At 48.6% G+C, this 27,977-nt stretch overlaps 1 protein-coding gene, 1 non-coding gene and 1 pseudogene across 8 annotated transcripts in view, besides 8 other annotated features; 1 reads left to right on the forward strand and 2 right to left on the reverse strand.

Moving 5' to 3' along the window:
• Positions 1-27,977, reverse strand: part of TPST2 (tyrosylprotein sulfotransferase 2) — a 68,137-nt gene that overhangs the window by 27,083 nt on the left and 13,077 nt on the right. For 2 of the 7 annotated variants that reach the window (NM_001008566.3, XM_047441549.1), the window contains exon 1: positions 16,146-16,263. The exons of 4 other annotated variants lie outside the window; for them this stretch is intronic. Coding sequence is in view for 1 of the 3 variants with exons in the window: in XM_024452294.2 (XP_024308062.1) it covers positions 1,514-1,563 (50 nt within the window). In the remaining 2 variants the exon portion in view is untranslated. Of the gene's footprint in view, positions 1-1,513; positions 1,571-16,145; positions 16,264-27,977 lie in introns of those variants that run through there. One more of the 7 variants, XM_024452294.2, reaches the window with a different exon arrangement.
• Positions 1,225-1,519: a silencer, noted in NCBI's record as "tiled region #3066; HepG2 Repressive DNase matched - State 8:EnhW, and K562 Repressive non-DNase unmatched - State 14:Gen5'". NCBI's record gives its function as "represses a minimal TATA promoter and a strong SV40 promoter by Sharpr-MPRA in HepG2 and K562 cells {active_cell/tissue: HepG2 | K562}" and the evidence as "EXISTENCE:reporter gene assay evidence [ECO:0000049][PMID:27701403]".
• On the reverse strand, positions 6,134-6,245 carry MIR548J (microRNA 548j). The gene has a single exon (NR_031615.1). It is a non-coding gene; the product is annotated as a microRNA 548j (primary transcript).
• Positions 6,709-7,678: an enhancer, noted in NCBI's record as "H3K27ac-H3K4me1 hESC enhancer chr22:26951753-26952722 (GRCh37/hg19 assembly coordinates)". NCBI's record gives its function as "activates a minimal SCP1, AML or CMV promoter by ChIP-STARR-seq in naive H9 embryonic stem cells {active_cell/tissue: H9 hESC(naive)}" and the evidence as "EXISTENCE:reporter gene assay evidence [ECO:0000049][PMID:30033119]".
• Positions 11,350-12,538, forward strand: HMGB1P10 (high mobility group box 1 pseudogene 10; annotated as a pseudogene).
• Positions 14,493-15,016: an enhancer, noted in NCBI's record as "NANOG-H3K27ac-H3K4me1 hESC enhancer chr22:26959537-26960060 (GRCh37/hg19 assembly coordinates)". NCBI's record gives its function as "activates a minimal SCP1, AML or CMV promoter by ChIP-STARR-seq in primed H9 embryonic stem cells {active_cell/tissue: H9 hESC(primed)}" and the evidence as "EXISTENCE:reporter gene assay evidence [ECO:0000049][PMID:30033119]".
• Positions 18,684-19,207: an enhancer, noted in NCBI's record as "OCT4-NANOG-H3K27ac hESC enhancer chr22:26963727-26964250 (GRCh37/hg19 assembly coordinates)". NCBI's record gives its function as "activates a minimal SCP1, AML or CMV promoter by ChIP-STARR-seq in primed H9 embryonic stem cells {active_cell/tissue: H9 hESC(primed)}" and the evidence as "EXISTENCE:reporter gene assay evidence [ECO:0000049][PMID:30033119]".
• Positions 18,684-19,731: a biological region, named in NCBI's record as "hESC enhancers GRCh37_chr22:26963727-26964250 and GRCh37_chr22:26964251-26964774".
• Positions 19,166-19,460: a silencer, noted in NCBI's record as "tiled region #407; K562 Repressive non-DNase unmatched - State 17:Gen3'". NCBI's record gives its function as "represses a minimal TATA promoter and a strong SV40 promoter by Sharpr-MPRA in K562 cells {active_cell/tissue: K562}" and the evidence as "EXISTENCE:reporter gene assay evidence [ECO:0000049][PMID:27701403]".
• Positions 19,208-19,731: an enhancer, noted in NCBI's record as "OCT4-NANOG-H3K27ac-H3K4me1 hESC enhancer chr22:26964251-26964774 (GRCh37/hg19 assembly coordinates)". NCBI's record gives its function as "activates a minimal SCP1, AML or CMV promoter by ChIP-STARR-seq in primed H9 embryonic stem cells {active_cell/tissue: H9 hESC(primed)}" and the evidence as "EXISTENCE:reporter gene assay evidence [ECO:0000049][PMID:30033119]".
• Positions 19,732-20,255: an enhancer, noted in NCBI's record as "NANOG-H3K27ac-H3K4me1 hESC enhancer chr22:26964775-26965298 (GRCh37/hg19 assembly coordinates)". NCBI's record gives its function as "activates a minimal SCP1, AML or CMV promoter by ChIP-STARR-seq in primed H9 embryonic stem cells {active_cell/tissue: H9 hESC(primed)}" and the evidence as "EXISTENCE:reporter gene assay evidence [ECO:0000049][PMID:30033119]".

A 27,977-nucleotide genomic window follows, 5' to 3' on the forward strand; every position in this document is an offset into this window, starting at 1 on the left:
CAAATGAGAAACTAGTCTTGCAGGAGTGCTGGGAGGTATAAATAAATTAGGGCATGTCGGAACAGCACCTGGCCCAGAGCAAGTGCTACCTGCCTGCTGGCTCTTGTTTTCAGCAAATCCTTGTATGGTGGAGATTTTTATCCCCATCTGAGAAGTGAAGAAATTGAAGCTCCAAGAGATGGAGTGATTAGCAGAAGCCAAACAACAAGTAAGAGGAAAGGCCAGTTTCCAAATGCGGTTCTGCCTCCAAGGTGCCAACCCTAGCGTGGTGTCATGCGGCTCATAAAACAGGGGCAGCAGCCAGGCACAGGGGCTCACGCCTGTAATCCCGGCACTTTGTGAGGCCAAGGTGGACAGATCACGAGGTTAGGAGATCGAGACCATCCTGGCCAACACAGTGAAATCTCCTCCGTACTAAAATACAAAAAATTAGCCAGGCATGGTGGCGCGTGGCTGTAATCCCAGCTACTCAGGAGGCTGAGGCAGAGGAATCGCTTGAACCTGGGAGGCAGAGGTTGCAGTGAGCCGAGATCATGCCACTGCACTCCAGCCTGGGCGACAGAGCAAGACTCCGTCTCAAAAAAAAAAAAAAAAAAAGAAAAAGAAAAAAGAAAAAAAAAATAATCAGATTAAGCCAGAATCGGTTGTTGGAAACAGCGGGGTTTCATTTCAGCAGGTGTGGTGACTCACACCTATAATCCCAGCACTTTGGGAGGCCGAGGCAGGTGGATCACGAAGTCAGGAGATCGAGACCATCCTGGCTAACACGGTGAAACCCCCCTCTCTACTAAAAAAAAAAAAAAAAAAAAATTAGCCGGGTGTGGGGGATCGCGCTTGGGAGCTCCCAGCTACTCAGGAGGCTAAGGCAGGAGAATTGCTTGAACCTGAGAGGCAGAGGTTGCAGTGAGCCGAGATCATGCCACTGCACTTCAGCCTGGGTGATGGAGCAAGACTCCATCTCAAAAAAAAAAACAAAAAAAACAAATGGGCAGCAGGAGACCATGGGAGGAAACTTTGCTCCCTCTTTCCATTGACCCTGAAATGTCCCTGGAAGGGAGGGGCTAATCAATCTAAGAGATCCCCTTAGACTCAGATTCATTCATTCCACCAATGTTTACTGAGCAAGTACCATGTGCGGGGCCCTGCTCAAGATACTGGGATACATCAAGGGCAACAGACAAAGGTTCCTGCCTTCATAGAGCTGACATTCCAGTGGGGAGCCAAGAAACCAGTATGTGAGACAATGACACCAGTGATAAAGGCTCAGAAGCAAATGCCCATGATGAGAGGTGGAGGCATTCCCCAGGGGTTAAAGAAGGAAAGAAGGGAGTGACATTTGCATTGAGACCACACTGAATTTTGGCTCAAATCTATAGGAACTTTCTAAATCATCATTTCTCCAAGCTCAGCAGATCAGGAGGTTCCCAAGAGAAAAGCGGCAGGGGGGCAGGGAGGGGACAACAGCGGGGAGCTGGCAGTGCACAAAGCCAGCTCAGGAGGTCACTGCACTTACAGAGTGGCCCTGGAGCAGGGCCCAGTGCCCACGTGCTCAGGCTCAGCCATCAGCCCTGCAATTCCTCCCCATGGGAACCAGCTCCCAACATTCCATTGCCATGGCTATTCCCAACCCTACCAGACCACGCTGACCACACCAACTCCCACCCACCACGCCTCAACCTTCTGCAGAGCTGGGGAGACGCAGGTCTCTTGGGCAGGGTCCCTGGGAATCAGGGACCTCTGACCTATTGCGGGGGGAAGCCAGCCAAGAAAGCCCTCCAGATTCCAATGGGGTGTGAGTAAGGGAAAAATAATTCTGAAGCTCTGGACACTGCTTGAGCATAAAAAGCATGAAGAGTGGTTCAAGAGGGAAAAAGGGCAGGGAGGCTGGCATGCAGCCTTAAAAATATTAGCTCAGGCCAGGCACAGTGGCTCACGCCAGGCATGGTGGCTCATGCCTATAATCCCGGCACTTTGGGAGGCTGAGGGGGATGGATTGCTACAGCAAAGGAGTTTGCGACCAGCCTGGAAAATAAGACAAAACCCTCTCTTTACAAAAATTAGCTGGGCTTGATGATAATACACCCATAGTCCCAGCTACTTGGGAGGCTGAAGTGGGAGGATGGCTTGAGCCTGGGAGGCAGAGGTTGCAGTGAGCCAAGATCACACCACTGCACTCCAATCTGGGTGACAGGGAGAGATTCTGCCTAAAAAACAAACAAACAAACAAACAAAAAAACATTAGTTCAGACTTAGAGCCCTTATTATATACCAGGCACTGAACTAAGGGTTTTACATATATCATTGCATTTTGTCTTAACCATTGACCCTATTTGACCCTCCCTTATTAACCATCCATTTCCTGGGGCTCAGAGACGTAAAGGAACCTGCCGAAGGCCATGCAGCTGGGAGGCAGGGGAGCTAGAAGGAAAACTCAAGTCTCTCTCTTTCCAGAGCCTGTGTTCTCCTCCCTGTCTTGCTTTGCATTTTTTTTTACCTAAAACCATCAAAGCAGGGTCCCACACACTGTCCCAGTCTCCCGTTCAGAGGCCCAGTTCAGCACTCTGTTAGGGACTAGCCAGGGGTGGGGACTGATGAGGCTGGGGGTCACATCCTGGCTCCCCCACTCAAAGGCTGGGTGTCCTGGGTCAATCTTGGGCAGCTCTCTGAGCCTCAGTGTTCTCATCTGAGAAATGGGAATAACACCTGGAAGAGTGTCATGGGAACTATGTAACTTCCATCAAGCCAGGCAGAGCCAGCATAAGAAAACTATTACCATTTAATTCTTTTCCTTTTCTTTTCTTTTTCTTTTTTTTTTTTTTTTTTTTTTTGAGACAGTTTCTTGCTCTGTTGCTCAGGCTAGAATACAGCGGTGCAATCATGGCTCACTGCAGCCTCAAACACCTGGGCTCAAGCACATTCTCCCATCTCAGCCTCCCAAGTAGCTAGTGCACCACCATGCCCGGCTAATATTTTATTTTTTGTAGAAATGGGGTCTTAATACATTGTCCAGGCTGGTCTCAAACTCCTGGGCTCAAGTAATCCTCCTGCCTAGGCCTCTCAAAGTGCTGGGATTGCAGGCATGGGCCACTACGCCTGGCCGCCTTTTGATGTTAGGATCAGTCATTACAGCACATGGATAAAGACTGGCAGGGACATACACACAAACTAAGGAACGCGTGGTCCGGTCAGGTGGGATCAGGGGTGACTTCTTCTCCCTGTTCGTTGTCATTTAGAGTCAAAATGTACAGGGCCAACTGTGCATTTTTACTCTAATGACAACCCTGGAGGGTGGGCGCTATTATTAGCCACGTTTTACCGAAGGGGAAACTGAGGCTTAGAGCGGTGAAATGCTTTGTTGGAGGTCACACAGATGGTAATTGGTTGAGCCTGAACTGAAACTCAGGCTATCTGATGCCAGAACCCAAACTGTTTCCCCAACTTTCGACGACCCTGCTTTATCATCTCTCTTGGGGGTAGGCAAGCTTCTGTGAAGTCATAAAACCCATGTTTTTGGCTCTGTGGGCCACAAGAGCTCCACTGCGAGTTTGCAACTGTAATGCAAACAACCAAGATGACACATACATGAAGGCAAGTGGCTGCGTTTCCATAAGACTAGTTACGAAAACAGGCGGTCAGCTAGATTTGTCCCGTGGGCATAGTTTGCCAACCCCCTGGTCTATATCACGAAAAGACACTATCAGCCAGGAGCAGTGGTTCACGCCTATAATCCCAGCACTTTGGGAGGCCAAGGCAGGAGGATCACCTGAGGTCAGGAGTTCGAGACCAGCCTGGCCAACATGGTGATACCCCATCTCTACTAAAAATACAAAAATTAGCCGCGCATGGTGGCGGGCGCCTGTAGTCCCAGCTACTCGAGAGCCTGAGGCAGGAGAACTGCTTGAACCCGGGAGGCGGAGGTTGCAGTGAGCTGAGATTGTGCCATTGTACTCCAGCCTGGGTGACAACAGCGAAACTCCATCTCAAAAAAAAAAAAAAAAAAAAAAAAAAGACACTATCAGCAGCACCTGCCCTCAGTGCAACCTGGGCAAACTCACAAAGCACAAATACAGTGAGCCGAGGTGGAAGCCAGTTTTGGTTCTGGGACTTTTCTCAGTAGGGACTGTGGGAGGACCCAGGTGGCCAGCCTTTGGTAAGAGAAAAATGTACAATTCGGGAAAACAAATAGTTGATTGAAAAGAAAAAGAAGTGCACACTCATGCATAGGGAATCATCCAGCATCCTGTCTGTTGCCACGTAAGGACTAGCAGAGAGGCTTGTGCATGCCTGGCAGTTTTTTTTTTTTTTTTTAAAGAGACAGGGTCTCCTTCTGTCTCAAAGGCTGGAGTGCAGTGGAGTGATCACTGTTCACTGCAGCCTTGAAACTCCTGGTCTCAAATGATCTGTCTGCCCCAGCCTGCCAAGTAGCTGGGACTACAGGCAAGTGCCACCATGCCCAGTTAATTTTTTATTTTTGTGGAGACGGGGTCTCACTATGTTGCCCAGGCCAGTCTGAGTTTAATCCTCCCACCTCAGCCTCCCAAAGTGCTAGGATTATAGGCATGAGCTACTGCACCTGGCTGGCAGTTTTATATACAGTCGCCCCTCGGTATCATAAGGGACTGATTACAGAATATCCCTCGAATACCAGTATACATCAAGTCCCTTATATAAAATGATGTAATATTTGCATAAAACCTACACGTATCCTCCCATATACTTTAAATCAGTGCTAGATCAATTATACTACCTAATACAATCTAAATGCTATGTAGGTAGTTGTTACACTGTATTGTTTAGAGAACAATCACAGGACAAAAAAGCTCTGTTCATGTTCAGTACAGATGCAACCACCCATTTTTTCCCGAATATTTTTGATCCACTGTCGGCTGAATCCCCGCATGCAGAACCCAAGAAGACGGACAGCCAACAATATATTTTGACCCTCATGACAGGCTTGGAGGGTAGGCACTATTATTATTAGCCACGTTTTACAGAAGGGGAAACTGAGGCTTAGAGAGGTGAAGTGCTTTGTTGGAGATCACACAGATGATAAGTGGCTGAGTTTGATCTGGAACTCAGGTCTATCTGATGCCGGAACCCAAGCTCTTAACTACCTCTTCCAAATCTCGACCCCACCCCATACACAGATGGGGAAGCTATGTGCCCCAGGTCAGACAGCTGCTCAGAGTAGTGCCCGGCTCAGACTCCTGGACCATCTCCCAGTCTTGCCCCTGACACCTGGCACAGCCCCTGCTCAGGACTTCCTGCCCAGAAACACAGAGGGCCCCTGCCTGGTAAACAAGGCAAACAGGAAAGGGCCAGCGTGATCTTGTAGGGACCAGTGCTTCCTGAGCCCTCACCCCCACCCACCATGGGATCCCGTCTCTACTCCTCTGTCCAGAAGCTGTCAGAGGTAGGGGACTGAGCATAGGGGCAGGAATCCTCCACACCTGGCTGATTCCTAGCAATGCAGCCCTGGGTTGGGGGTCAGTGGGGAGGTGTTATCTAACTACTTTGTGCCTCACTTTCCTCATCTGTGAAATGGGGAGGCCATTAACACTTGTGAAGACTAAATAAATAAACTTGCAGTGGCTCATGCCTGTAATCCCAGCACTTTGGGAGGCCAAGGTGGGCGGATCACCTGGGGTCAGGAGTTCAAGACCAGCATGGCCAACATGGTGAAACCCCGTCTCTGCCAAAAATACAGAAATTAGCCAGGCGTGGTGGTGAATGCCTGTAATCCCAGCTACTTGGGAGGCTGAAGCACAAGAATTGCTTGAACCCAGGAGGAGGAGGTTGCAGTGAGCCAAGATGGCGCCACTGCACTCCAGCCTGGGTGACACAGCAAGACTCTGTCTCACAATAAATAAACTCACATAAAGCACTCAGAACAGAGCTTTGTTACTACCTGACTGTTATTCCTTCCCTTTAGGGTAGTGGTTAAACTTTGGTGTGCTTCTGAATAGCCCAAAACTTTAAAAGGCAGATTTCCTGGGGCCTGCCCTCAAATATTCTGATTTGGAAGAGGCAAGGTGGAGCTGAGGGAATTTGCATTTTAACGTGGAGCTGAGGGAATTTGCATTTTAACAAGCGCTGCCCCTTGCTCCCTCTCTGTGAAACACCGCTTAAGGCACTGAACTCAGCGTTCTAGTAGGCTGGTGCAAAAGTAATGCAGTTTTTGCCACTGAAAGTAATACCAAAGACCGCAATTACTTTTGCACCAGCTAACTATTCACTGGCTGCCCACCTGGGCCAGGCTCAGGAATGCAATCATCGTGGAGTGCAGGGGTCAGGAGTGTAGACCTAAAGTTGGACAGACCCAGGCGATCTTGGTGTGGCCACTCACCAGTGGCCTTGAGCCAGTGACTTCTTGTCTCTGAGCCTCACTCACCTGTTATAACGTTTAACATTTCCAAAATAAGTCTGAAAACGGCACCTACCTTGTGGAGCTGTTGTGAAGCTGGCAAAGAGTGTGAGCTCAGAGGCATCAGCTACAATTCTGTACCATTATTTATTAGGACGGACACAGTCCTGCCCATAATGAGTGTCACGGCCATTGAGCCGGCAGACAATCAACCCAGTGGGATGGATGCCCAGACAGACTGGGGTGTGCAGGAGGCGGTGGGAACACGTTCAGGGCACGCTGGAGCACCCAGTGTCACGTCCTGCCCAGAAGACCTAATAACACCCAACAGACAGGCACCACAACAAAGTGGCATCGACTCCCACTGCAGGCCTCCCACGGCAACCCTGTGGGGGAGACAGCCCCTCTCTGGCTGGATCATGAATAAGAAATCCAGAGGCGGAATGGGCTGCTCACACTCTGCTCACACTCACACAGCAGGTGCAGGGCAGCATGAGGACTCAAACCCAGGTCTAATGGGTTCTTCCACCATTTTGTGCCATGGATCTCTTCAACCATCTGGTGAAATCTATGGGCCCCTTCCCAGAATAATGCTTTTAAATGGAATACAATAAAATATACAGGATGAAAAGGAAACCAACATAGTAAACTTTGGCTAAGAATGTGATTACAAAAATTGCTGTGAAATATTATCTGTAACCTATCTGCTCCTTTATTAAAGCAATCAATAACAAGATCTAGTAGCAGACAGAATAATCACTGTCATCTGCAAGCAGACACATCTGTGGCACCTAAAATGTGATATAAAAATATGGGCCAGGAGCAGTGGCTCATGTCTATAATCCCAGCACCTTGGGAGGCCGAGGTGGGCGGATCACCTGAGGTCAGGAGTTCAAGACCAGCCTGGCCAACATGGTGAAACCCCGTCTCTACTAAAATACAAAAAAATTAGCCAGGCGTGGTGGCAGCCACCTGTAATCCCAGCTACTTGGGAGGCTGAAGCAGGTGAATCACTTGAATCTGGGAGGCAGAGGTTGCAGTGAGCCGAGATCGCGTCATTGCACCCTAGCCTGGGCGACAAGAGCGAAACTCCATCTCAAAAAAAAAGTGTGGTTTCTACTGGTGATGCGAGTGCTGCCACTACTACTGTGATTTATCACCTATGTTGTCACCTGGAGGAAATGTTAAACTAGGGTCAATAAAGATGTAATTTTCCCCTCATCCAAATTCCTAGGCCCCCGAATGCAGCCTGGAACCCCAATTAAGAATCGCTGCCAGCATCTGGCTCCGTTATGGACACAAAATCTATGGCTGTTAGGGCCAGGGAGCCATGGTCCTGCCTCAGGAGTCTAGATTCACCTTCCTTCCCATTCCTGCCCGTTTCCTCGCCCCACCATCAAACACAAGAGCAGTAGGGATTTGCACCAGAAACACTTGATGGCATATTGTGGAGCATGGTTTGCATGTTCTGATTTTATTTTAAGAAGTAAAAGTGGCCAGGAGCAGCGGCTCATGCCTGTGATCCCAGCTGCTCACAAAGCTGAGGCAGGAAGACAGCTTGAGCCCAGGAATTTGAGACCCAGCCTGCGGCTATCAACATAGCAAGCCCCAAATATAAGTAGGTAGGAGATGGCAACTGTTATAAAAGAACCATGGCTCCTCTCCACGCTGGCATCACACACTGGCATGTGACCTTGGCTACTAAGTTAGCAGTGTGAAGGCCAACAGGGACCAAAGTGGGGGTGACCCTGGCAGAGGCACTGTACACATGGCCCTGAGGGAAAGCAAACATCCGCAGTGGATGAGGGGAGGCACAGGCAGGTGGTCAGAGTCCCATGCTGCCAGCCAGACTGGGCGTGCACCTGCATCTACCCCAGACCCTTGGCAGCATCACCTCCACTCTCTGGGCCTGAGTTTCCTCATCTGTAAAATGGGCCCAATAATTCTTACTAGCGATGCTGCTGTGAGGATTAAGTGAGATAGGGGCTTAATAAGGGAAAGACCAGAGGGGTGTGGCTAATGCCTTGCAGCTCTTCAATAACTGTGAGTCCCATCTGAATCTACCGATGAGAAATCAGCAGTGGTGAGCAGGAAAAGTGGGGAAAGGAGATTGGCAAGCTCTAGACTGTGCCAGGCTTTGAATGCCAGGTAAGGAGCTTGGAGTTATCCTGGGGACGGTGGGAAATTGTGAGCATTGGTCTGGTTGTGACCTGGGAGGGGACACAGGCTCTCTCTGGTGTAGGATGCCTGAAAAGACAAGGGCTGGAGGCCAAGTGATAGCTGCTGGGGGACCCAGGGAGCCATCTCAAAGAAGAGAGATGGGGTCAGACGTGGTGGCCCATGTCTGTAATCTCAGCACTTCAGGAGGCCGAGGAGGGAGGATTGCTTGAGCTCTGGAGTTCAAGACCAGCCTGGGCAATGTAGTAAAGCTCCATCTCTACAAAAAAATTAAAAATTAGCCGGGTGTGGTGGCATGCTCCTGTAGTCCCAACTACTTGGGAGGCTGAGGCCAGAGGATCACTTGAGCCCAGGAGGTCAAGACTGCAGTGAGCTGTGATCACACCACTGTACTCTGGCCTGGTTGACAGAGGGAGACTCCGTCTCAAAAAAATATATATTTTATATAAAATTTATATATATATATTGTATAAAAATTATTATATAAAAATATATATAATACACACACACACACACACACACACACACACACACACACACACACACATATATATGTCGCCCAGGCTGGAGTGCAATGGAGCAATCACAGCTCACTGCAACCACCATCTCCCAGGTTCAAGTGATTCTCCTGCCTCAGCCTCCTGAGTAGCTGGGATTACAGGCACTGGGCCACAACACTGGCTAATTTTTTTGTATTTTTAGTAAAGACAGGGTTTCATCATGCTGACCAGGCTGGTCTCCAACTCCTGACCTTAAGTGATCTGCCTGCCTCGGCCTCCCAAAGTGCTGCGACTACAGGCATGAGCCACTGTGCTTGGCCTTAAACAAAACAAAACAAAAAAATTAAAAAGGAGGGAGATGGGAGAGAAGGGAGAAAGCAGCAAAGGAGACACTGTGGGCAGGAGGAGGATGTGATGTGGAGAGAGCCCCCTACTGTGGTCCTCACACATGACTCACTGGCTGGACAGACAAATCATAGCTTCTCTTGGGGTGGGCTTGCTGGTCTCAGCCGTCAGATGGGGAGACAGAGAGAAGGAAGGGACAGAGTGGTGGGGGAGACCCTGGCCACCCTAGGGAGAGCAAAAGGCTTGCCTGGCAGGGCAGGAACAGGGTGAGGCAAGCAGGGCATTGTCCTTGAGCACAAAAACTCAAGGGGGTGCCAAAAAACTCAGTAACCAAGATCAATAATGTTTCAATGCAATCTTTTTTAGATCAGTGGAAAAAAATCCATGACAAACAAAAAATATAAAGTGTTTAAATAGGACAAGTGATGTTGCGCTGTGCTAAGCCACACTGGAGCCAAGGCAGAAAGAAAAAAATCAGTAATACTGATCCTGACATTATTTACAATTTTTATATGTTGTTTTTCATGGATATTTTTGCATTTAGATTGTTTCATAACAGCTTTACTGAGGGACAATGCACATATCATATAACTCACCTATTTAAAGTGTACAGTTCATGGGCCCGGCGCGGTGGCCCACGCCTGTAATCCCAACACTACGGGAGGCCGAGGCAGGCGATCACCTGAGGTCAGGAGTTCGTGACCAGCCTGGCCAACATGGTGAAACCCTGTCTCTACTAAAAATACACAAATTAGCAGGGTGCAGTGGCAGATGCCTGTAATCCCAGCTGCTCAAGAGGCTGAGGCAGGAGAATCGCTTGAACTTGGGAGGCAGAGGCTGCAGTGAGCCAAAATTGCGCCACTGCGCTCCAGCCTGGACAACAGAGCGAAACTCCATCTCAAAAAAAATAAAAAAATAAAGTGTACAGTTCAATGGTCTTTAGTATAATCACAGGGTTTAATATATTCACAGGTTTCTAGTATGTGCAGAGTAGTACACTCACAGAGTTTTCGTATAGTCATAGTCAATTTTGCTACATTTTCATCACCCAAAGAGAAACCTCGTACCCTTACGTATCAAACTGTAACCCCCTTCTCCTCCCAGCCCCAGGAGACCACTACTCTACTTTCCGTCTCTATGAGTTCGCCTATTCTGAACATTTCATAAAAATGGAATCACACAAAGCATGTTCTTTAATGACCAGCTTTTTCCACTTAGCACACTCTGTTCAAGGTTCATCCGTTAGTTTTGATTTTTCAAATTTTGCATTAAAATATTATCTTGATCACTTGATCATCCCCTGCTGCCTAGGGCTCTCCCAGGTCAAACCCTGGTTTCTGCAAACCCCCACTTAACAGCATGGTTCTATTCACACCTTCACGCAGAAGCCAGGGAGCTTGGGGCTGCCAGAAACCTCCTAGCCTGGACAGCAGGGCCTTCTAGGAGCCTCTGAGGAAATCCACACGGTGTGACAGACCGGGTATAGAAGCATATCATATCAATGTATATGTATCATATACATATCAATGCTGTAATACGATATAAAATAAGAGAAGATGATTTCTAGATTTGATGCATAACTTTGGGTCCTTGAGCTCGGGAATGCAGAGCCAGCAGTGGCCTCGGAGAAAGCCTGGGCGAGCTCAGAAAGGAGAGTGTGGCCAAGGTCACACAGCAAGTTAATGGCACGGCCAGGCCTGAACACCTGGCTGGGTTCTTCCCATGTACCCAGAGGCCTTCTCTGCTGGCATCATGCTGGCTTGCTCTCCTAACAAGATACGGTAGGATGGTCTCCTGGTTAAAGTGTGGCTCCGGAGTCAGGCTACAGATGCTGGCTACAGAGCTACATGACTTTGGGCAAGACACTTAACCTCTGTGGTCATCAGGTTCCTCATTTGTAAAATGAGAATCATATTGCAGCAGTGCCATATGACTTTTGTAAGGATTAAATAAGATATTGTGCATTGCAGTACACTGAGCTCCACAGAGACAGCGCCGGGGCAAGTGAGAGCCGGACGGGCACTGGGCGACTGTGCCTCGCTGAGGAAAAATAACTAAACATGAGCAAAGGAGATCCTAAGAAGCTGAGAGGCAAAATGTCATCACATGCATTTTTTGGGCAAACTTGTCGGGAGGCGCATAAGAAGAAGCACCCAGATGCTTCAGTCAACCTCTCAGAGTTTTCTAAGAAGTGCTCAGAGAGGTGGAAGACCATGTCTGCTAAAGAGAAAGGAAAATTTGAAGATATGGCAAAGGCGGACAAGGCCCATTACGAAAGAGAAATGAAAACCTATATCCCTCCCAAAGGGGAGACAAAAAAGAAGTTCAAGGATCCGAATGCACCCAAGAGGACTCCTTCGGCCTTCTTCCTGTTCTGCTCTGCGTATCGCCCAAAAATCAAAGGAGAACATCCTGGCCTGTCCATTGGTGATGTTGCGAAGAAACTGGGAGAGATGTGGAATAACACTGCCGCAGATGACAAGCAGCCTTATGAAAAGAAGGCTGCGAAGCTGAAGGAAAAATACGAAAAGGATATTGCTGCATATCGAGCTAAAGGAAAGCCTGATGCAGCAAAAAAGGGAGTTGTCAAGGCTGAAAAAAGCAAGAAAAAGAAGGAAGAGGAGGAAGATGAGGAAGATGAAGAGGATGAGGAGGAGGAAGATGAAGAAGATGAAGATGAAGAAGATGATGAATAAGTTGGTTCTAGCGCAGTTTTTTTTTTCTTGTCTATAAAGCATTTAACCCCCCTGTACACAACTCACTCCTTTTAAAGAAAAAAATTGAAATGTAAGGCTGTGTAAGATTTGTTTTTAAACTGTACAGTGTCTTTTTTTGTATAGTTAACACACTACCGAATGTGTCTTTAGATAGCCCTGTCCTGATGGTATTTTCAATAGCCGCTAACCTTGCCTGGTACAGTATGGGGGCTGTAAATTGGCATGGAAATTTAAAGCGGGTTCTTGTTGGTGCACAGCACAAATTAGTTATATATGGGGATGATAGTTTTTTCATCTTCAGTTGTCTCTGATGCAGCTTATACGAAATAATTATTCTGTTAACTGAATACCACTCTGTAATTGCAAAAAGAAAAAGTTGCAGCTGTTTTGTTGACATTCTGAATGCTTCTAAGTAAATACAATTTTTTTATTAGAAAAAAAAGATATTGCATGTGAAGCACTTAGTTCCACACCTAGCAAACAGCAGGTGCTCTAGGTCTTATCATCATTATTACTATTATTAGTATCTGGAATCTAGCATCTCACGGAGAGTCCTTTGTAGGACATGGAATGCTATCCCAGCAGGCACAGGAAGGAAAATTTAGGCTTAGGTACTAGGGAGCCATGGCAGATGTTTGAGCAGTGGGTGAGCAGCATGACTTTGAAGCTGCATAGGGCTGGCCGCCAGTCCAGTACCCACCTACAGGGAACATCTTTGCCAAGGTCCTTCCTCGCAGGCTCCAAATCCCTGGCAGTCCTCCCAGTGCTGCTGGGCAAAGCCAGAGCACAACTCCCACAGGCTACACCCCGTGACATTTCCAGCCTTGTTTGCTTCCTGGGTGCCAGCCGGGCTGGTGAACACCAAGCAGTCAACAAGCTGGGGGACTTGAAGCAGCCCACACAGCCTCAATCCACAGATACAAAGACCAGGAGGCCCAGCGGCCCGGCGGGGGCCACAGGGTGGCAGAGGAGAAACTGTCCTTATTTTGGAGTCATGAAGGCAAGCCTAGCTCCTCCTTTGCTGTGTGACCTTGGGAGAGTCCCTTTCCCTCTCTGAGCTCCAGTCTGCCCATATGCGAGAAGGACTTATCTGCTTCTGTATGCTTAGGGGCTGCTGGAGAGATGCAACACAATAAAACAACAATGGTGTCCTTTGGCAGCACCCCCACCATGAGCCAGACACTGTGCTGAACGTTCCAGGTGTGTAACTTCACTAAACCCTCACAGCTCTACAAGCCAGTCCATGTGCCATTTCTACTTTTAAGATGCACCTAATTGCTCAACTCATTGGTACAACCTCTATATTACAAACTGGAGGGAGAAGGCATAAGTCTCTTTGGAGTAAAAGATCCAATCCTATGTTCTTCCCCCTTTTCTAAGATGTAACTGCTGTTGATTAGTTTGGAGGGGAGCCATCTACACTTGCTTTTTCTTTTCTTTTCTTTTCTTTTTTTTTTTTGAGACTGACTCTCACTATGTCACCCAGGCTGGAGTGCAATGGAGCGATCTCAGCTCACTGCAACCTCCGCCTCCCAGGTTCAAGCGATTCTCCTGCCTCAGTTTCCTAAGTAGCTGGGATTACAGACATGTGCCATCATGTCCAGCTAATTTTGTACTTTTAGTACAGACAAGGTTTCACCACGTTGGTCAGGCTGGTCTCAAACTCTCGACCTCAAGTGATCTGCCCGCCTCGGCCTCCCAAAGTGCTGGGACCAGGGGCGATTTTGCCATTCAGGGAACCATCGGTAATGTCCAGAGATAGTTTTGGTGTTACAATTAGGGATCATCTCATGGGTAGAGCCCACGGATGCTGCTAAACATCTTACAATGCCCAGGTAATCCCCAGCACAAAGAATCATCCAGTCCCAAATGTCACTAGTGCCAAGGTTAAGAAGTCCTGGATTCTACATAGCCTCCTGAAACTGACTGGGTTCACTGAACACGAGGTCTTTCCGTGTCAGCATGTTTGTTCTATCATCCAGTAAACATTGCTTGAGCACCTACTGGGTGCCAGGCCTTGTTCTAGCACCGGGGCCAAATCAGTAAACAAGACAAAGCCCCAGCCTCCAGAGGGCACTGATATCCTTCCAGAAGAAAAGACACATCAACATGCAACACCTTGATGGACCTCCTTCCCTCCCTCTTCTTCTTTTTTTTTTTTTTTTTAAGACAGAGTCTCACTCCAGCCCAGGCTGGAGTGCAGTGGCGTGATCTCAGCTCACTGCAAGCTCCGTCTCCCGGGTTCACACCATTCTCCTGCCTCAGCCTCCCAAGTAGCTGGGACTACAGGCACCCGCCTCCACGCCCGGCTAATTTTTTTGTATTTTTAGTAGAGATGGGGTTTCACCGTGTTAGCCAGGATGGTCTCAATCTCCTGACCTTGTGATCCACCCGCCTCGGCCTCCTAAAATGCTGGGATTACAGGCGTGAGCCACCACGCCCGGCCCTCCCTCCCTCTTCTTAATTGTTCCAGAGCATCCCAGCAGGAACAACACACCATTCAGTTAGCCAAGGCCTTCTGACAGACATGTAAGCTGCTTTCATCTTCTTGCAATGACATACCATCACAAAGGACCATGCCTCCTTGTGCCCATGCATGAAAGGTGCCCTAGGGCCTCACTAGGGTCTTGCAAGCAGTAAGGCCACCTGGGAGGCTGCTAGTCCCATGCCTTAGAAGGTACTTAACCGGCTTTTTAACCAGACCCCAGGCGTTTCCATGCACAATACGATTTGAGAAGCACAGCTCTAGGTAGCTACCTGTAGGGGGTCGGCGGGCTCAGGGGCCACTCTCCCTTTATATTTCAGCAGATACTGCAAGTGCCCTCCCAAAGACCCTCCTGCCAGCAGTCTGCATGTTCCCCTTCTGCACCAACTTTGTGTTGCCGGAGGTTGCCGTTTTTGCCAAGCTGACGATTCCTCCCATTTTCCAACTATGGAGACTGAGGCTGAACGAGGTGTCTAGACAACCAGCGCCAGGGGCCAATGACCTCTAAGGCCTCTCCCAGTTCTGACATTTAGGATCTGGCCACAGCCTAGGTGTCTTCGTACCAGCCTCCTGATCAACCACTCTCACTCTCAGTAGCTGCTTGGAGCAGGAAGGAGGAAAGGTTACAGCTCACCCAGCAAAGGAAGCAGAGTTCCTGAGGGAGGGAGCAGGCTTAGTGGGCTGGACATCTGTGAGCGCCACTGGCAAGGCTGCTGCTATGCCCCTTCATGTCCAGTCATGCAGGACGGAGGACCAGGCTGGGGACAGCGCAAGCCTTGCCCCGTCATGAATAACAGGTAACGCCGGAGGGCCGAGCAGAGGAGGGAAAGTGCTCCAGGGCCAAGAAGCCAGATGAGTCCCCAACTTTGCTCTCACCAGTTGCACATCTTAGCCTCAGTTTCCTCCCCTAAAAATGGGCTCCTACCACTCACTGCAGAAGGCTGCAGTGAACACTTATGCACAGATCAGTCAACAAACAGCAGCCACCACCTGAAGCCTTGCCTTGGGCCGGTGCTCTGTTACTTTTATTCAACTTACTATAGCCTCACAGCAGCTGACTGGCACTGTTATTCTCCCCATTTGACAAATGGGGAAATTGAGGCCCAGAGAGGTGCAGTGCTCTGCCCTTGATCGAACACTGAGTTATAGCCATGGAAGGGGTATCCTTGGACCTGCAAAGTCAGCATTACTCATCTGAATTCTGCCTCTGTGGAGCTGTGTGGCCCTGGGCAAACTGCTTCACCTCTCTGAGCCTCCACTTTCTCAGCAGTGAAATGAGGACGTAACACACAGAGTGGAGAGGGGAAGCCATCTGCAAACAGAGAATACTGTCTGCAGACCCCCCACTGAGACTTCATAATGCCACCTCCAAAACACCCAGCCCAGGAAGACCTGTCACCTGTGGGCATCTCTGATCTTTCCTGAGCTCTAGCTGCAACATGGGCCAGGCCATGCAAAGCTGGTAGCCCCCAGAGAGGGAAAGCCACTTGCTCTAGTTGACACAGCTGGTAAGTAGTAGAGAGCAGAGCCAAGCAGCAAGAGATGAGGTTTCAAACCTGAGAGCGGTACAGGCAGCAGCCAGGGTGGAGGCGAGGGTCAGGCTCGAGCTGGCAGGTGGCTGGAGTGGGGACCACCAGGAGCTGGCAGACCCTTGGTGGCCAAGGTCTCTCTCCTGCTGGCTTTTAGCTGGGAGGCTCCTTTGAAGGATCAGTCAGCCTTGCGATGGGCCTGCCTCTCCTAAAGGCTCCTCCCTCTTCTGGATCCAGTCTTGTTGCTCACCTGTGGACTGGCAGCGGGCACCTCCTCTCTGGGGAATCAGGGCTTCTCTTGGCGGCTGTGGCTCAGGTCTCCTAGGCCATGCAGTCTCCCTGTGGCCAGACTTGCCCTGGTCTCTGGAATTCCCTCTTGTCATTTTGGCCAGAGGATGTCAGCCCCTGCCTAAAACCTTCCACAGAATTCTAGCTCCTTCCTGTAGTTTGTAACAGCGCCACCCAATAGAAATGCAGTGTGAGACACACTTCAAATTCTCAGTTTTCCAGTAGCTATGTTACAGAAGTAAATTTAATAACATTTTATTTAACTCAATATATATAAAATATTATCATCAATCAATATAAACATTACTGAGATAGTTTATAGTCTTTTTTTTTTAATTACTTAGTCCTTGAAACCCAGGGTAAAACTACTTTCAGCACATCTCAATTTGGATGCTAAATTCTCAGTAGAAATGGCTAATCTGTACAGAGATTTCATAAAATTGATAGTTGAACAAAGTATATCCACACACCCAAACTGTTGTACACACACTTAAAAGTTTTCCAAGAATGGGAATGAGTATCTGTTCTGAAATTAAAATAGATAAAGACTTGAAATTCAGTTCCTCAGCCACAGCAGCCACATTTCGAGGGCTCTGCAGCCACACGTGGTTTGTGGTTGACGTGGTGGGCATGAAGGTTAATAAACTCCTGGCCAGGCACGGTGGCTCATGCCTGTAATCCCAGCACGTCGGGAGGCTGAGGCAGGCAGATTACCTGAGGTCAGGAGTTAGAGACCAGCCTGGACAACGTGGTGAAACCCTGTCTCTATTAAAAATACAAAAATTAGGCTGGGTGCGGTGGCTCACGCCTGTAATCCCAGCACTTTGGGGGGCCGAGGAAGGCGGATCACAAGGTCAAGAGATCGAGACCATCCTGGCCAACATAGTGAAACCCCGTCTCTATTAAAAATACAAAAATCAGCCAGGCGTAGTGACACGCACCTGTAGTCCCAGCTACTCCCGGGAGGCTGAGGCAGGAGAATCACTTGAACCTGGGAGGCAGAGGTTGCAGTAAGCTGAGATCGCGCCACTGAACTCCAACTTGGTGACAGAGCAAGACTCTGTCTCAAAAAAAAAGAAAAAGACAAAGAAAAAGAAAAAGAAAAAAAAATACAAAAATCAGCTGGGCATGGTAGCAGGCGCCTGTAATCCCAGCTGCTCAGGAGGCTGAGGCAGAAGAATCACTTGAACCCAGGAGGCGGAGTTTGCAGTGAGCCGAGATTGAGCCACTGCACTCCGGCCTAGATGACAGAGTAAGACTCTGTCTCAAAGTCAGTAAATAAACAAACAAACAAACAAACAAACTCCTTAAGGCCAGGACAACACTCCCAATCCCTCTGCTCTCCTCTCTTCCCCCGCTCATATCGTATTGTAATTGTCCATCTTGGAGTTTCTCAGTCTCTGCACTATAGACATTTGGACCAGATCATTCTTTGTGGTAGTATGGGGTGGGGCTGTCCCATGCATTGTAGGATGTTTAGCCGCATCCCCGGCCTCTACCAAGGAGATGCCAGTAGCATCCCCTCCCTGAGTCCTGACAACCAAAAATGTCCCCAGGCATTGCTGACTGCCCCCTGGGGGTGCAGTCATCCCCATCAAGAACACTGGTCTATTGCGGGGTAAGAGGGGGTGAGACTAAGCCGATTCTTTCCATCTCCCAGGTACCTGTCCAGTGCCTGATGCACAAAGGTGCCCAAGCCTGTACCTGAACAGAAGAGGCTTACTCCACCCTGAGACTCACCTCTTCCAGGAAGCTTTCCACAATGCCTTAGCCCAGTTAGTGTTTCTGCTGGGATCCCACAGCCCCCTGCGCTCACCACTGGTGCAGTCCCCTCCAAGGGTAGGAAATGGGCCTTGCTCACTGTTTATTTTCAAGGCCTAGCCTGGAAGTTGGTATACAGACCTGAGAAACAGGGATGACTTAGGTTGAAAGCCATGCAAGGCCAGTTTTGCCCATTTTAATTCAGGGCTTCCTCATCCCAGCAAAAGATGCTAATATCAGTCACAGTTCCATCTATACACCAGTCAATGAGCTAATATCCACAGGATTTAGAGAGGGAAACTGAGGCTCACACATGTGAAGCTTGTCCTGGATTCCAATGACCTTGAGGCTTAAAATTCCCGGTTCCTCCTCTTATGGATCAAATGAAGTCATGCATGAAAAAAGATATTTATAATACATCTCAAACAAATATTTATACTGAGAACATATAAAGAGTTCTGTGAAATCAATTTAAAAAAGGACAGGCAACACAACAGAAAAATGGGAACGTCTGAAGACATACTTCATAAAAGAGGTTATCTAAGTGGTCAATAAGCATATGAAAGGTGCTCAAACTCATATCCATCGGGGAAACAAATGCAAATTTAAAGTACATTGTGGGATCATTACATAACTAAATAACTAAAAAAAGAAAAGGATACCAAGTGTTGGCAAGGATGTAATGCAACCAGAACTTTCATACTCTGCTGGCAGGAGGGAAACCTGGTTCAACCCCTTTGGAAAACTCTGGCTTAACTGAGACAAAGCCTGAATGTGCACCTTCTCTACAACCCAGCATTTCTACTGCTGATTATACATCCATGAGAAATGCATTCAACTGTTCACCGAAGGGCACATATCAAAATGTTCCCGGTGGCATGATCGTAATTGCCCCCAACTGGACACTATCCAAATGCCCATTGGCAATAGAATGGATAAACAAGTAAATACAAATAAACAGATATATACTAAACAGCCAGGAGAAAGAACAAGCCAGAACCTTACGCAATAACAACACCTGTGATGAGCGAAACAAGTCAGCACAAGAAAGACCATAACGCGTGGTTCTGTCAGAGGCACTGGAACCACAGCAACTCCATCTCTCCAGTACGGGCTGGGTAAATGAGGCTGAGACCTGCTGGGTTGCATTCCCAAGAGGTCAGGCATTCTTTGTCACAGAGACAGGAAGTCAGCAGGACTGCTTTCACAAGATACAGGTCGTAAAGACCCCATTAATAAAACATGATGCAATAAAGAAGCCGGACAAAACCGCCAAAACCAAGATGGCAACAAAAGTGACCTCTGGTCATCCTCACTGCTCATTATAGGCCAATTATAATGCATGAGCGTGCTAAAAGACACTCCCACCACCAGCGCCATGACGTTTACAAATGCCATAGCAATGCCAGAAGTTACCCTATATGGTCTAAAAAGGTGAGGAACCCTCAGTTCTGGGAACTGCCCACACCTTTCCCCTTATTTAGCATATGATCAAGAAATAACCATAAATATAGCCAACCAGCAGTCCTCTGGGAGGCTCTGTCTATGCAGTAGCCATTCTATTGTTTGTTTACTTCCTTAGTAAACTTGCTTTCACTTTATGAACTCACCCTGAATTCTTTTTTTTTTTTTTTTTTGAGACGGATCTCGCTCTGTCTCCCAGGCTGGAGTGCAGTGGCCCGATCTCGGCTCACTGCAAGCTCCGCCTCCTGGGTTCACGCCATTCTCCTGCCTCAGCCTCCCGAGTAGCTGGGACTACAGGCGCCCACCACCACGCTCAGCTAATTTTTCGTATTTTCAGTAGAGACGGGCTTTCACTGTGTTAGCCAGGATGGTCTCGATCTCCTGACTTCGTGATCCGCCCGCCTCAGCCTCCCAAAGCGCTGGGATTACAGGTGTGAGCCACCGCGCCCAGCCTCACCCTGAATTCTTTCTTGCACAACGTCTAAGAACCCTCTCTTGGGGTCTGGATCGGGACCCCGTTCCAGTAACAGTTCCATGGATACAAAGTACAAAAACAGGTGAAATTCTAGGGGGAGATGTCAGGATGGTGGTTACCCCGGTGGGGCAAGGGGTAACTGCAGGGGGAGCAAGGTGTCCTGGGGCAGGGAGGGGTGCTATGTACGTTCAGCTATTGATCCAGGTGCTGGTCACACAGACACATTCGTCTTTTGAAAATTCATTGAGCTGTATGCGTATGAAATATGCATTTTTCTGTATACACGTTAGACTTGAATAAAAATAGTCTTAACGAATCACACTTTCAGCAAGCTTGGTGGCTCACACCAACACTTTGGGAGGCTGAGGCAAGAGGATCACTTCAAGGCCAAGAGCTGGAGGCTGCAATGAGCCATGGTTACACCACTGCACTCCAGCCTGGGCAACAGAGAGACTTTGTCTCCTAAAAAAAAAGAAAATTAATGGCCTGGCACGGTGGCTCATGCCTGTAATCCCAGCACTTTGGGAGGCTGAGGCAGGAGGATCACCTGAGGTCAGGAGTTCAAGACCAGCCTGGCCAACATGGTAAAACCCTGTTTCTACTAAAAAATACAAAAATTAGCCGGGCGTGGTCGCAGGCACCTGTAATCCCAGCTACTCGGGAGACTGAAGCAGGGAGAACTGCTTGAACCTGGGAGGTGGAGGTTGCAGTGGGCCGAGATCATGCCACTGCACTCCAGCCTGGGTGTCAGAGCAAGACTCTGTCAAAAAAAAAAAAAAAAAAGGAAGAAAGAAAGAAAAGAAAGAAAAAGAAAGAAAGAAAGAAAGAAAGAAAGAAAGAAAGAAAGAAAGAAAGAAAGACAGAAAGAAAGAAAGAAAGAAGGAAAGAAAGAAAGAAAGAAAAGAAAGAGAGAAAAAAATTAATTAATCACACTTTGTCAAATGCTGAGGAATGGTGTTGCTGGCTGGGGTATGCTACCCGCCCCACTCCACCCCACACACTTTTTTTTCCCGGCTGCTGCAGAGGAACACACAAGACTCTTTGCATTCATTCAATCAACACTTGCAGGACGGCGCTCTCCCAGGGCTAGTCGGTCCTGGGCGCCAGGAACTTCAAGGACAATTGAGCTTCAGCCTCTGATCATGCCACCCACACCCCGGCTCCTGGCATGGACACCTCCCAGACCCACACTCAATAAATGAGCAGCCAGGCCACGGTGGCTTTTGATCAGATGCCAAGGAGGTTATGTCTGCTTGTCTTCCTCTTTCTCTACAGCCCCATGAAAACGTTTACAGGGTTTTTCCTTATGCGGGGCCAAACCCAGCCATTCTGGCACAGGTATCAGGAGGTCACACTTGGCTACTGTGGCCCTCTCTCCTCCCTCCAGTTCAGGAGATACTAGCGCCCCTGGATGCTCCCCACAGGCTGACATCTCCTGAATTGTCATCTTGAACCCAAATCTCTCTCCTCACTTGGACACAGTTGCCCACTCTCTTCCTCCCTGCACCTGGGTGTTGAGCCTGGTCCTTTCCCCAGCATACCCCACCTGCAGCTGGTAGCAGCAGCATACCCCACCTGCAGCTGGTAGCAGCTCCATCCTTTCATGCTGGTGCCAAAAACCTTGAAGGCAGCTTTGATTCTTCTTTCTCACCCTAATCCAATCCAGCAGCAACTCCTGTTAACTTCACCTTTAAAACAGAGCCAGAATCCGCCATTTCTCACCACCCGCACTGCCAGACGTTTGTTTCAGGCGTTCACTTCTTACCACTCTGGTCCAAGCCACCTCATCACTAGCTTCCCTGATTCTGCCCTTGTCTCATCAGTTGATTTTCAGCAAGCAGCCACAGTGACCTTAGGAAAACGGAAGTCAGGCTATGGCCCTCCTCTGCTCCGCATCCTCCCATGGCTCCCACTTTACTCAGGAAAAACCAGTCCTCATTTGCCTTACAGGTTTGACCCCACCCCTTACCTTTCTGCCCCCAACCCCACTGGCCCTTGCCTCTTCTCCAGCCACGCTGGCCCCCTTGCTGTCACTCAAACACACAAGCACCCTCCCTCCTCTGGGCCAGTGCCCTGGCTGTGCCCGCTGCCCGGATGCCCTTTCCCCAAACATCCACTTGGCTCACTCTCTCACCCTCCTGTCCTCTCTCACATCGCACTTCTTCAAGGCCTCTTCTGATCAACCAGTTAGTGCTGCAACCTGCCCCGCCAACACGGCACTCCAGAAGCCCTCACCCTGCGTGATTTTTTTTTTCCCCCAGCACTCACCACCTTCTAACACATCATATGATTGACTTACATATTCTGCATTCATTGTCTGGGAGCCTTGAATGCTCTGTTTCCGGAGCATTGCAGCTCAGTAGGTGGTCAATTAATATTTACTAGATAGAGTTGTCACTCTGCACCCCTTCTCCTAAGGCCACAGAATCCTGACCGGCCCCTCTCAGCATAGCAACCGTGAAATGGCCAATTCTCCACTAGTCTGTCACTTGGATGCTTGACAGCATTTCAAACTCAACACAATCAACCTAAACTCCTAATAGGATCTCCTGAGCTTGGTTTCTCTTCCAGGCTTGCCTGTTGGAACAAGCCAGAAACCCAAGATCATGAACCTCTTCCTCCCCATGAACCCCTGATCCAATCACCACTGAGTCCTGTGCATTACACTCAACACCCCCAGGATCCAACTGTTTCTCTCCATCACCAGCAGCCCAGTCCAAGTCCCCACTGTCCGCCACCTGATCATGCTTCCACCCCTGCCTGTCCCCATATGGTGGCATGTCACCCCCGCCTTCACTATACTTTCAAAGCTTCCCACTGTCTTCAGTATGCAATTTCTTCACGTGGCTTAGAGGGGTGTCATGATCAGACCCCTTCTCCAGCCCCATGGACCTTCTATCAGCCCCAAGGGTGCCATGCATCCCTGGCTTTCTTATTTTCATTCTCAGTCCACCTTCGACCCCTGGTGCAGACACATAACCTAGGCCTGGCCAATCACAGCATTTCATTCCCAGACTGCAGTGTTGGTTCAAAGATGGACGTTTGACCCAATCTAGGTCAATGAAACTCAACTGGAGACTTTTACAGAATTCTGCGGGGAGGCTAAGCAAGTAGGGTATAGGGCTGGAGGTGTGGGGCCATCTCTAGTCACCACCTGCAAAGCTGGCATGAGAGCAAAGCCAACCTAGGAAGGTGGAGCCGAGATGGAGACACAAATCCCTAAAATTACTTGAGTCCTTGGATCTAGCCATACCTGAGGCTCACCTCTTACATAATCCAATAAATTTACCTTTTTGCTCAATGCTATGGAAGCTGGGTTTCTGTCTCTGTTTATCAAGAGTCCTAGCTAATAGATGGGTCCATACCCTCTTCCCACCTTATCTTGGGCTGCTTATCTCCTCAGCTAAAGTATCTCCTTCTTCAGGAAGCCTTCCCTGAATACCCCGACTAGATTAAGCTCTACCCTCCTATGTCTCACAGTCCCCTCTGCCTACCACTCACCATTCTGTATGGTAAATGCTGTTTGCCCTTCTGTTTCCCATATTCCACTGTGAGTGCTCACGGGCTGGGAGGCATTGCAGTCTGGTGGGTTTTTTTTCTTCTTCTTCTTTTTCTTTTTTTCCTACACTTATCACAGAGCCTGACACTGAGAGGCATTCACATTTTATTTTTTTCAGGTCATTTTGCTCATCAATAAGTTTCCTCAGATATCAGGGAGTAGTGAAAAAAGAATGCGTTTTGCAGAAAGATGCGCCTGAGTTTGAATTCCCCACCTATTAGTTTTGTGACCTCAGGTAAATCACTTAACCTCTCTGGGCCTCATTTTTCTCATCTGTGAATCGGGAGAGCAGCTAAATACACATAAGGGCTTTACTACCATATTAGAGCTGGTTAAGTGTTTAATTAATGATAGTTCCTGGCTCTACCTTCTTCCTCCAGGGACTGCTCAAGCAATCTTCCCACCTCAGCCCCTCGAGTAGAGAGGACCACAGGTACACACCACCACACCTGGCTAATTTTATTTTTTGTCGAGATGAGGTCTCACTATGTTGTCCAGGCTGGTCTCAAACTCCTGGGCTAAAGTGATCCACCCTCCTTGGCCTCCCAAAGTGCTAAGATGACAGGCGTGAGCCACGGCGCCCTGCCTAGTTCCACCGTCTTATCTGAAGGCTCGGGGTGACAGCTGGGGCCAGTCACTGACTCCGACTTCCGCCCCAACAATGCGGATTTGAGTTTCCACACAAGATGTGACTCTAGAGTATCTTTATTAACATGTCAGAAGGTTTCCTGATGTTTCTGCTTACAAAGTCTTCAGCTAACTTCCCTCTTCCCCTGGCCCCAGCTGTAGTTTATGGCTTTTCTGATTGCATGACTTTCCACTTCTTTGTTGTGGAGGTTTTGCAATGGCTGATGGCCAAAAAGTGAAAAGGCTTGACCAAGAACAAAGCAAGCAATAAATAAATACTTGCTGGATGTAATGTTCCTCAACAAGATGGCCTCAACCTTTTTTTTTGTGGTTCATCCAGGAAGCATGAGGCCTTCGTCCTGGTAATATTTTGGGCATATTATTAGGGGCAGCAGTTGGCTCTAGGTGGGGGTTTTAAGAGCAGAATTTGCCAGCCCCAATTCTGGGGTAGTGCATACTACGAATCCGGTTTCCTGAGCATTCACCTGCTCCTCTGTTTCCTTCCTGGACAGACTGTGATATCTTCTTCGTTTTCACTCACTCCTAGAAGCAGGAAGAACCGGAAGAATTGCAAAGGCTTTAAGAGCTGCTCAGAGTATGAACACTTAAAACATCACAGGGAGAAACCCACGAGAGAGAAGGGGCATGATCTCATGGTTCACTGTTTTGGGGGACAGATTTACAATTGGGGAACAGCCTTTTCCTAATGGTGCAGGGCTTTGGGGGACCTGGGTTTTATGGAAAGTATTTCCATCTGCAAACTTGCCTGGCCATTACCAGGAAGCAAAATGCCATGGGGAGAGTCCCTTAACTTCTCTGAGCCTCAGTTTCCTTATCTGTAAAATGGGTGAAGAACAACAAAATTTTCGTTGCTATGAATTACTGAGCACTTCTATGCATTAGATGCCATATAACTATTATCTGTCACCCACAAAATAATCATTATTATGATCCCTGTTGCACAGATGAGGAAACTGAGGACCAGAGAAGTGTCTGGAGCAAGGTCTCAAAGCTCATGCATAAGCCAGCTGGAGTTCTAACTCAAGTGTGTCTGACTTGAGAGTTGCTATCATCCCACAACAACAGGCCTTCTCTTGATGCCTGCCTCACGGGTCACTGTGAGGTTCCAATGGCATCACACACACAAAAGATAAAGATACTGCCTGAGGCACCTGTTTGCCCAGGAACGAGCAAGCCATAGGTATTTGGGAGGCGACTGGCTGGAGACAAATACAAGTCCCTTGGATCCTCATTATCTGCTTTTCTCCTGGGCTCCCCTCATGCCCAGTCCTAAGTAGAGAGGGTCTCAGAGAGCAGAAACGAGGAAAAGGCGACAGTGAGCAACTGCATCCTTGCAATGAAGGAGCACTCACCAGCATCCTCACCACCCAGAATGTAGGCTCCCAACCATGGGCTGCACTGTGCCTATCACCTCCCACAACTCCAGCCCCGCCAGGGACTTGCCACCAACCAGGAGAACCCAACTAGAAGGGGTCCAGGAGGAGCCATCCTTTCCTACCCACTCTTGGAGGGGCTGCATGCCACTGGCTTTCTGGACCATAAAATGAGATGTGCCATGAACTTCCCCACCCTGTCCATCCCGGGACCATCTAAGGGACTCCAGCAGGAGGACAGTCAAGATTTGAGCCCTCCCTATGAGGACCTGTCCCCACTCAGTCTCATTTCCCATCACACACCCTAGATGCAGGGGTAAGAATCTAGGTTTGACTCCCGCCCCTCCACTTCCCCAGACAAGTGGTTCAGTTCCCCCGTGCCCTATGTCTTTCATCTGGAAAATGGGGATAACACAGCACTTCCCTGGAGGTTGAGATGAATTTGCACCTAGGAAGTCCTTAGCAGAGTACCTGACACACACTAGGGCATCCATAAACATTGGCTGTGAATATTACGACTTTGACACCGAATGCCTTCTTGACCCTGTACTGAAACTATTCCCTCTTCCCACAATGCCTCCCTTCCCCTTTTGCCTCCTCTCCCAAATAATTACGGCAATAACAGTAATCATCACACTTACCAATTGCTAAGGGCCTCCTACTTGCAAGACCACGCACAGAACACTTCTCAAAGACCATCTCCTTCCTGCTGCATCCTCCGGAGACAGCGACACTATCATTTCTATACCTCCCCTTGTGTCCATCTAAAATATCAGCTCTCCCAGGGCAGGAACAGGGTCTCTCCTGCTCACTGCTGGATTCCCGGCATCCGGCATAGAGCAGGCACACAGGAGGTGCTCATATTTGCTGCAGAAATGAGACCCCACTGAATCCTCACAAAAACCCGCTGCTGTAAATGATGATGGCATCCTTTTAAAATGAAGATGCAGGCCGGGCGCAGTGGCTCACGCCTGTCATCCCAGCACTTTGGGAGGCCAAGGTGGGCGGATCATGAGGTCAGGAGTTCCAGACCAGCCTGACCACCATGGTGAAACCCCGTATCTACTAAAAATACAAAAAAATTAGCCGGGCCTGGTGATGTGTGCTTGTAATCCCAGCTACTGAGGAGGCTGAGGCAGGAAAATTGCTTGAACCTGGGAGGCGGAGGTTGCAGTGAGCCGAGATCGTGCCACCGCACTCCAGCCTGGGTGACAGAGCGAGACTCCATCTCAAAATAAATAAATAAGTAAATAAATAAAAAATAAATAAATAAAATAAAATAAAATAAAATGAAGATGCAAAGGACACACAAAAAAATTTAAGGAAATTATCCGAGGCTGCATCACACTAAATGGCAAAACACAGACATGAACCTGGGACTGTGGAGTGCTAAGTTCACACTCTTACTAATTAAGGAAATCCCACGTCCCAATGGGGCTCCACCCCATATGCCTTGGAAGGCTTCTCTGACAGCTGCCACTGACAACGATGGAGCTGGTCTTCTTGAAACACCATCAAAGCTGGACTTTGAAAGTAACATTCCTGGGAGACTCTCTGTACCAGCAAAGCCCCAAGTCAGATCTACAGGAGCCTGAGGGTCAGCACAGGAGATTGACACCCAAGTAACAGGATAATTCACAGAATGAAATAAGAGCTTGGTTAGGGGAAGCAAGTCATGTCATCACAGACATCAGAGGAAGGAATCTGAGCTGAGTCGAAAAGAATGCCAGCATTTTAACACGTGCAGAAGTTAGAGGAAGCGTCCCAAGTAGAAGGAACAGCTCGAGCAGCGGGTAGAAGTGTGAAAGCACACTGGAAATTTGGAGAATGGCAAGGAATTCACTGTGAACAGAATTGTCTTTGTGGAGGAGGGGAAGGTAAATAATCATGGCAATAAGAATAACAACAATAATAGTAAGACAAAGCCGGGCACAGTAGCTCATGCCTATAATCCCAAGCATTTTGGGAGGCTGAGGTGGGAGAATCACTTGAGACAAGGAGTTCAAGACCAGCCTGGGCAACATAGCAAGACCCTGTCTCTAAAAAAAAAGGCCGGGCGCGGTGGCTCACACCTGTAATCCCAGTACTTTGGGAGGCCGAGGCGGGTGGATCACAAGGTCAGGAGATTGAGACCATCCTGGCTAACACAGTGAAACCCCGTCTCTACTAAAAATACAAAAAATTAGCCGGGCGTGGTGGCAGATGCCTGTAGTCCCAGCTACTCGGGAGGCTGAAGCAGGAGAATGGTGTGAACCCGGGAGGCGGAGCTTGCAGTGAGCTGAGATTGCGCC

The sequence above is a fragment of the Homo sapiens genome, chromosome 22 (assembly GCF_000001405.40).
Source record: "Homo sapiens chromosome 22, GRCh38.p14 Primary Assembly".
NCBI classification, from domain to species: Eukaryota; Metazoa; Chordata; class Mammalia; order Primates; family Hominidae; genus Homo; species Homo sapiens.